Below are 9178 nucleotides of genomic sequence, written 5' to 3' on the forward strand. Positions count from 1 at the left end.
TGCATTGGGTGAGGATGCGGAGCAAACAGAGTTCTTTTCCTGTCACATTACTATGATCTGAATCTTTGTGATTATATTGGATCCACCTGTACAATCCAGACTAATCTTCTGTATTAGTCCATTTTCACACTGCTGATAAAATACCCGAGACTGGGCAATTTACAAAAGGTTTAATGGGCTTATAGTTCCACATGACTGGAGAGGCCTCATAATTATGGTGGAAGGCAAGAAGGAGTAAGTCACATCTTACGAGGATGGCAGCAGGCAAAAAGAGAGCTTATGCAGCGAAACTCCCCTTTTTAAAAACATCATATCTCGTGACACTTATTCACTAGCATAAAAACAGCACTGGAAAGACCTGCCCCCACGATTCAGTTACCTCCAACTAGGTCCCTCCCACAACATGTGGTAATTCAAAATGAGATTTGAGTGGGGTCACAGCCAAACCATATCATTTTCCTATTTTAAAATCAGTTGATTAGCAACTTTAATTCTATCTGCACCTTTAATTCTCCTTTGTTATGGAACATATCATATTACCAGGGAATTACAAGATGGGCTTCTTTGTGAGGCCATTATTCTGCCTGCCACACTACTTAAATGTCTACTGTAGCTTGGGTTGTAATAATTGTATTTGTCCTGAAGAACCAGATTTTTGTGCTGTATCATCTGTGCAAACTTAATAAGGGCAAAAGGTATATCATCAGCTTTCTGTCACTCCCTACCTCACTTCCAATTTATTTTGCCAACATCTCTGTTTTGGGCAGGCCAGTCATAGTGGCAGCTCTACCCATAACCTGCTTCTGAGATAAATTGCCTAATCACATCCTCTGCAAAGGGAGCAGTCCATGTGCTTCTCTTGCTGGCCATGATCTCTTCACTGCAGCTGCTTGGTGTAGAGTGAACATGTGACAGCAAGACGATCAATTTAAATGATGATTGGTTCAAGCAGTTCTAATAGTCTTCAAATATCTATTATCTACATTCTGATTTAACCAAAAAGCCATCATTTTTAGGGGTGAACATTGCTACAAGTTGCAGGCCTCTTTATATCTTCCTGTGTCTATCGCCTGGTTTTTGGACAATGTGATAGAAGGATCAGTGTTGTGTGGAGTTGTTGTTGGGTTTGATTAAAAGAGATATCCTTCAACTTATGTTTTTCCTTTTTATTGCTTTGTGGAACAAAAATATAGTGATGCAACCTTATGAACCATCTGGCACCATGATGTGACCTTGGAAGAGCAACAAGAAAATAACAATACTGGCTCTTTTATGTGCAACCGACACAGTAGATCTGGAACTCTACCCACAACAGTGTGCTGGTAAATGCTTAACCACCAGTTCCTTAGGTATAATGACCTTATTTATAGTGCTTTTTGATTTATGAGGAGTAAATATTCCTATCATATGGCATATATCACTGAATGTAGAGCTGGGAAGAGATGTACACAATTAGATCGTGGAAACCAGTTCTAGTAAACTCTAATGTGGGAAAAGTAAACTTCTATTTTGTTTAGACCAGTATTTTGTGTTGTTTCTTGCTCATGGCCAGAAATGATCCCAGTTTATTTCTGAGTAGTGGCCTATGAGATGATGAAGGCCAAATGGGGTCATCCAGATTTCTTTTTTTACATACTTCAAACTATCGGTATGGAGAGAGGATCATTAGTTAACAGTTGGATCATGAATAAAATTATGCACTAAGGCATGTAGTGACAGAGTGGCTGTATCATGTTACTATAGAGAGGTATAATACACCAGCAAACTCCTGTGAGTGCAGGCAGGCACCATAAGACAACCTGGCTTCAAGCACAGCCTTGGATCATGAATGGTGTTGATTTCTGTCAGATTCTAGTATTCTAGTCTTTCTTACTATTTTTGTTTTCATTGCTTTCTATTGTTTTTCTGTTTTCTGTTTCCTTAGTTTCCAATCTTATCTTTATTATTTCCTTCCTTCTTCTTTCTTTAGGTTTAATTTGCAATTCCTTTACAAGTTTCTTAAAGTAGAAGTTACAAGTTTCTTAAAGTAGACTTTTTTATTTAAGACTTTTTTTTCTATGTTGGGGTTTAAAGCTATAAGATTTTTTCTAAGCATTGTTTCAGCTGCGTTTCATAAATTGATATGTTGTCATGCAATTTCCATTCAGTTCAGAATAGTTTTTAATTTATATCTTTATTTCTCCTTTGACATGTTATTTAGCATTATGTTCTTTAATACCCACATACTTAGATAATTCTCCAGATTATTTTTAATTTCTAATTCATTTCCATTGGGATTGAAGAATATGCTTTGGACGATTTCAATACTTTTAAATGTATTCAGGTTTGCTTTATTGCCAAGTGTATGGTATCTCCTGGAAAATATTCCTGTTGTGGCTAAAATAATACGTATTTTACTCTTGTTGGGTAGTGTGTTCTGTAGATAGCAGTTAGGTCAACTTAGTTGAGGGTGTCACTCAAGTGTTCTATATTCTTGCTGAATTTCTTTTTTTTTTTTTTTTTTTGAGGTGGAGTTTTGCTCTTGTTGCCCAGGCTGGAGTGCAATGGTGTAATCTCGGCTCACTGCAACCTGTGCCTCTTGGGTTCAAGCGATTCTCCTGCCTCGCCTCCTGAGTAGCTGGGATTACAGGTGCCTGCCACCATGCCTGGCTAATTTTTGTATTTTTGGTAGAGACAGGGTTTCACTATGTTGGCCAGGCTAGTCTGGAACTTCTAACTTCAGATGATTCACCCGCCTCAGCCTCCTGAAGTGCTGGGATTATAGGCGTGAGCCACTACGCCAGGTCTATTCTTGCTAAATTTCTCTGTAGTAATCCTGTCAAATATTTACAATGAGATACCAAAATCCTCAAAAATTGGTATTAAATTGTCTATTTCTTCTTTCAATAGTGTCAGTTTTTGCATTATGTTTCTGGAGCAGTGTTGGTAGTTGCACATACTTTTATAATTATTATATTTTTCTGATTGACACTTTCATGATTATAAAGTTTCTTCTTTGTCTCTAGAATTATTTCTTATTGTAGAGTCTATTTTATTAGACATTAATTTAGTCATGCCAGTTCTTATTATGACAACTTCTTCTATCCTGTTACTTTCAATCTATTTGTGTTTATGAATCTAAATTATGTTTTTTATAGAAAGCATACATCTGGAAACTTTTAAAATCCAGTTTGTTTATTTCTCTCTTTTGATAGGAGTGTTTGAGCCATTCATGTGGAATTTAATGATATTAATTTAATACAATTAATATCTACTTTTAGATGTTGTGATTAGACTTAAGTTTGTCATTTGTAATTTGTTTTCTATATATCTCACATTTTTTGTTACTGTGTCTTCCATCCTGCTTCTTCTGTGAAACAAATATACTTTAGTCTATCATTTCAGTTCCTCTGATGAATTTTTAAAATGTATTTTTAGTTATTTTTCAAATGGTTGCTTTAGTGATCAAAATTTGCATCTTAACTTACCATAATTTACTCCAGATTAATGTTGACAATTCATATAAAATACAAGAACTATGCTCCAATATAGTTCCATATACTCACATCTCTAAGGCTTTGTTATTTCTCTTCAACCATTTTCTCTTTGTTTCTCATACTTCTATTTATCTATCTTCAAGTTTATTGATTCTTTCTTCTGCCCTCTTAAATCTACTGTTGTTCCTATTGAATGAATTTTGTTACTTCAGCTATTTTACTTTTCAATTCTAGAATCTCCTTTGTTTCTTTTTAATAGCTTTTATATTGATGTTCTCTATTTGTTGAGTCTTTTTCATAATTGCTCTGTTATATTGTTTGAGCATATTTGTGAGTGACTGTAAATTTTTGTCAGTTAATGAAATATGTGGACACAGTGACTATTTTGACTGCTATCCACCCTTCCCCTCATTATGGATCACACTTTCCTCTTTTTTTGCATGTCACATAGGTTTTGTTGAAAAGTTATCATTTTACATATTGTAACAAATGTAGATTTTTTGTTTGCTTTTTGTTCATTACATTGCAATTGTTTTGTTTCTTTTCTTTTTTCTTTTTGTTCTTTATTAGTAACCCATCTGGCCTGGACTTAACATATGAAATCTGGCTCCCTGCATCATGCTGTCACTGGGTTTTCTGTTTTTTTGTTCTTTTTTTAAGGGGTTAATCCATTATCTCTATTGTGTCATTGTAAGCCAATGACTGATTAGAAAATGCACTCAAACACCATAACCCAGCAAGAATTCTATTCTCTACCAGTGCAGCCATATGTATGTTGGGGTGCACTTCAAAATTCAGGCAGGTTTTGGAACTATCCCAGTTTTTACTTTCTATCAGGTCCCCTCTGGTCTCTCCTGCATGAGCCCGCAACCTCCCAATTAGTCAGGGTGAAGTGATAAACTTATCAAACCCTACTTCACTCCTCACCTAATTGTCTTTCATATCCAGAATCCCACTTTTAAATTTCTAGCTAGTCCATCTATCAGTTGCTTTCCCCTACGGGAATAGCTATCTCAAGCTGGAAGAGCTGCAGGTTTTCCTGGTGTGTTTCCTACAGAATTTGCTATTTTATTAATAATGTATGTGACCTTGAGTTTTCTGCCCTCTTCTCCAAATTAGGTGAGCTACCTGGGCTACCTGGTGGTTTACAGAGCCAGGAACACCCTGGTAGAACTACCCCAGCAGAGGAGGAGGAAGGTAGGATCAGCCACAGGTCCCAGGGACTCTCATAAATTAACATTTTTCAATTTATTGCTTTTCTCTGTACATTTCCCAAAGTCCTAGAATCATTGTTTTGATAACTTTGCCAAGTTTACTATTTTTTTTTATGAAAAGGATTTACCAACCTTTTCATTCTTTTGTAACCTAAAGTCTCTTGTCAAAAATTTATTTTATGGTGATTAGATGTTAATTTGTACCTGCTTTTATGTAATGGATTCTCTTAATTTATACATACTAAAAATACTTCAGATTAGAAAGATGGGGAAAATAATCCAAAAGTACCTCCTTCTTTTGTTCCAAACAACTCAGATACTCTCCTATTTCCCCCCAAAACAACATGCAGACACAGATGCAAGAAAAACAGAAATGAAAGAAAATCAAGATGAAAAAAAGAGAAGATGTGGAATGAGGTACCATACAGTTCTAATAAGTGCTTAGTTAAATATACAAACCATTATATTAGTTAGGAATCTTTAATTACAAATAAAAGACATCAAATTTAACTATGATGTATGGAAAATGGAGTAAACTTTATGAGACCAAAGGGCATGTAAATCTCTGGATTCAGGAAGAACCTGGAATAGGTGTCTAGAATGTAGAAGGTCGACCAAGCAGCACCTTTTCTTGATTTATTTTGCCCCATTTCTCTTTGGGAATTGGGTCACATATCTCTCCTTCTAAATCTACAAGGAGGAAAATATATCCTACAGCTCAGAAGCATACATTGGCTAAATTCTCCTCATGGATCTAAGTCCATGGTCTCACGCTGGAGATTGACAGAAGATGAAATACAAGGAAGAAAGACCTGCTGAGAGAGAAGGAGAAAGGAAGAAACTATCTACGTAGATAGTTAGCGCTGAGTCCTCAGCAGAATTCCTCTTCTAACAAAAGAGCAGCCTGAGAGGATCAAGCTGCAAACACGGAAAAGGAAGCCAGGTCTGACACAAAACACATCACAAGTAATCAATAAAGTTTCACATATGGATGGCAGGGTTGGGGAGGGGCTTAGTGAGCATATTCCTTCTCATTTTTTAGATATACTCAGATAAGAAAGCTTGCACAGGGGGCTGCCTGCAGCAGCACTGATAAGAAGAGATACCCTGGGCCAGGCATGTCCACTTTGAAGGGATTCACCCATAACTCATGCACAGCAGGAAGAGATAAGCAACATGGAGTAACTTAGGCTAAGGGCCCGCATGCTCACTAGATGGATATGGTAGGGACTGCAAGGGATTTGCACCTTATGCAAATGACACACCTAGTCCTGACCGGTTTTTCATACCCTATGTAAATGGAGCACCACTCCCTACTAACTCCTTTGTAAAAACCCTTGTCCTTCACTGTAAAATGACAACCCTTTTTTGGGATGCCTCTCTGCAGCAGAGAGCTTTCTGTCTTCCTTTCACTTCTTAAATTTCTGCTCTAATCTTACCCTTGATTTGTCTGTGTCCTTGATTTCTTTGGCAGTGAGACAAAGAACTTTGGGTGGCACCCCAGACAACAAGGCCATTTCATTACCAGTAGTATCTCCACTATAGTCATTAAGATAGATGCTGTAATGTAACCACAAGTTATAAAATGCCATCTCAGCTCTCAAAAAAGCCAGAGATTATATACATATAGATTATATGTAGATATATAGAGATATATACCTATTAGATTATATACATTGTATATATGATCTTAGATCATATAAATACTGTAACTGTAGGCCGGGCGCAGTGGCTCACGCCTGTAATCCCAGCACTTTAGGAGGCCAAGGTGGGCAGATCACGAGGTCAGGAGATTGAGACCATCCTGGCTAACACGGTGAAACCCCATCTCTACTAAAAATACAAAAAATTAGCCGGGCGTGGTTGTGGGTGCCTGTAGTCCCAGCTATTCAGGAGGCTGAGGCAGGAGAATGGTGTGAACCTGGGAGGCAGAGCTTGCAGTGAGCTGAGATCTCATCATTGCACTCCAGCCTGGGTGACAGAGCAAGACTCCATCTCAAAACAAACAAACAAACAAAAAAAAGAACTATAATTTTAAATAACTTTTAAAGTACCAGATTTGGCATAAAGGCTAAAGACTCTCAAACAAATGTTAAGTATAGGTCAATTTCAAAAAAGAAAAGCTGAAGTATAATATATGACATTTAAAATAACCAAATTGCTTCTCTGAGAAAACACCAAATGCCGGGATGACACTGGTGCAATGGGAGAGCCTGGAGGCCCCAGGGGCCCTGGGATGGGGAAGTGTGGTGGCTTCTCCTGAGGCTTTGTCAGTGGCATCTGGGGCTGGGGTCGCCTCAGTGGTCGGGGCTGAGGCGGGGGCTAAAACTGCGGAGTTCAAGGAGGCCAGGCTGAGGATAAGGAGTTGATGCTGGTCGTCAAGCTGGGCCACCTGGTCAAAGACATGCAGATCAGATCCCTGGAGGAGATCTGCCTCTTCTCTCTGCCCATCAAGGAGTCTGAGATCATTGACCTTTTCCTGGGGGCCTCTCTCAAAGATGAAGTTTTGAAGATTATGCTGGTGCAGAAGCAGACCTGCGCTGGCCGGTGCACCAGGTTGAAGGTGTTTACTGCCATCAGGGACTACACTGGCCATGTCCGTCTGGATGTTAAATGCCCCAAGGAGGTTGCCACTGCCATCCGATGGGCCAACATCCTGGCCAAGCTCTCCACCGTCCCCATGCACACAGGCTACTGGAGGAACAGGATTGGCAAAACCCACACTCTCATTTGCAAGGTGACAGGCCACTGCAGCTCTGTGCTGGTGTGCCTCATCCCTGCACCCAGCAGCACTGGCATTGTCTCAGCCACTTTGCCCAAGAAGCTGCTGCTGATGGCCAGTATTGATGACTGACACAGCTCAGCCAGGGGTTGCACTGCCACCCTTGGCAACTTCACCAATTTCACCTTTTATTCCATCTCCAAGACTTACAGCTACCTGACCCTGGCCTCTGGAAGGAGAATGTATTCATCAAGTCTCCCTATCAGGAATTCATTGACCATCTTGTCAAGACCTATGCCAGAGTCTCTGTGGAGAGGACTCAGGCTCCAGCTGTGGCTACAACATAGGATTTTTTTACAAGAAAAATAAAGTGAATTAAGCATGTTAAAAAAATAATAAAATCTCTGCATAGTATTCCATGGTATATATGTGCCACATTTTCTTTCTTTCTTTCTTTTTTTTTTTTTTTGAGACTGGGTCTTGCTCTGTCTCCCAGGCTGGAGCGCAGTGGTGCAATCTTGGCTCACTGAAAGCTCAGCCTCCCGGGTTCACACCATTTTCCTGCCTCAGCCTCCTGAGTAGCTGCGACTACAGGCGCACGCCGCCATGCCTGGCTAATTTTTTGTATTTTTAGTAGAGATGGGGTTTCACCATGTTAGCCAGGATGGTCTTGATCTCCTGACCTCGTGATCCACCCACCTTGGCCTCCCAAAGTGCTGGGATTACAGCTGTGAGCCACAATGCCCGGCCTATATGTACCACATTTTCTTTATCCAGTCTATCATTGATGGGAATTTGGGTTGGTTCCAAGTCTTTGCTATTATGAATAGTGCTGCAATAAACACACGTGTGCAAGTGTCTTTATAGTAGAATGATTTATAATCCTTTGGGTATATACCCAGTAATGGGATTGCTGGGTCAAATGGTATTTCTAGCTTTGGATCCTTGAGGAATCACCACACTGTCTTCCACAATGGTTGAACTAACTTACGCTCCCACCAACAGTGTAAAAGTGTTCCTATTTCTCCACATCCTCTCCAGCATTTGTTGTTTCCTGACTTTTTAATGAGTTCATGTCTTTTGCGGGGACATGGATGAAGCTGGAAACCATCATTCTCAGCAAACTAACACAAGAATAGAAAACCAAACACCGCATGTTCTCCCTCATAAGTGGGAGTTGAACAAAGAGAACATATGGGCACAGGGAGGGGAACGTCACACACTGGGGCCTGTTGTGGGGTGGGGAGCAAGGGGAGGAATAGCATTAGGAGAAACACCTAATGTAGATGACGGGTTGATGGGTGCAGCAAACCACCACGGTACATGTATACCTTTGTAACAAACCTGCACATTCTGCACATGTTTCTCAGAACTTAAAGTATAAATAATAATAAAATAAAATAAAATAGCCAAATTAACAAATACATAAAAGAAGGGCAGTCCATGATATGTGAAATCTGGGTAGCAAATCAGTGACAGAGATACAAACCTGAAAAAAAAAATGTTTTACAAAACTTTAATCACTCCAAAAAAGAGAAGCCAGCTTGTTTTTCTTCCATGACTTACTAGGCTGTCCATAAAATTCCACTGCCAAGTATCACTTTTCCTCTATAATATCTCCATTTATGTAATAAATTATTTACTGTTTTCAATCACTGTACTTCCTTTTTTCCTCTTATAGAGAATTCTTTGAACGAAAGATAGATTTGCTCAAAAACAGTTTATTCCAATGCATGGCTTTGACTATTTTACGTTAATTGCAGTCT

General features: G+C 39.2%; 1 pseudogene; it reads left to right on the forward strand.

The window, feature by feature from the left end:
- Positions 6852 to 7799, forward strand: RPS2P38 (ribosomal protein S2 pseudogene 38; annotated as a pseudogene).

The sequence above is a fragment of the Homo sapiens genome, chromosome 11 (genome assembly GCF_000001405.40).
Source record: "Homo sapiens chromosome 11, GRCh38.p14 Primary Assembly".
Classification (NCBI taxonomy): domain Eukaryota; kingdom Metazoa; phylum Chordata; class Mammalia; order Primates; family Hominidae; genus Homo; species Homo sapiens.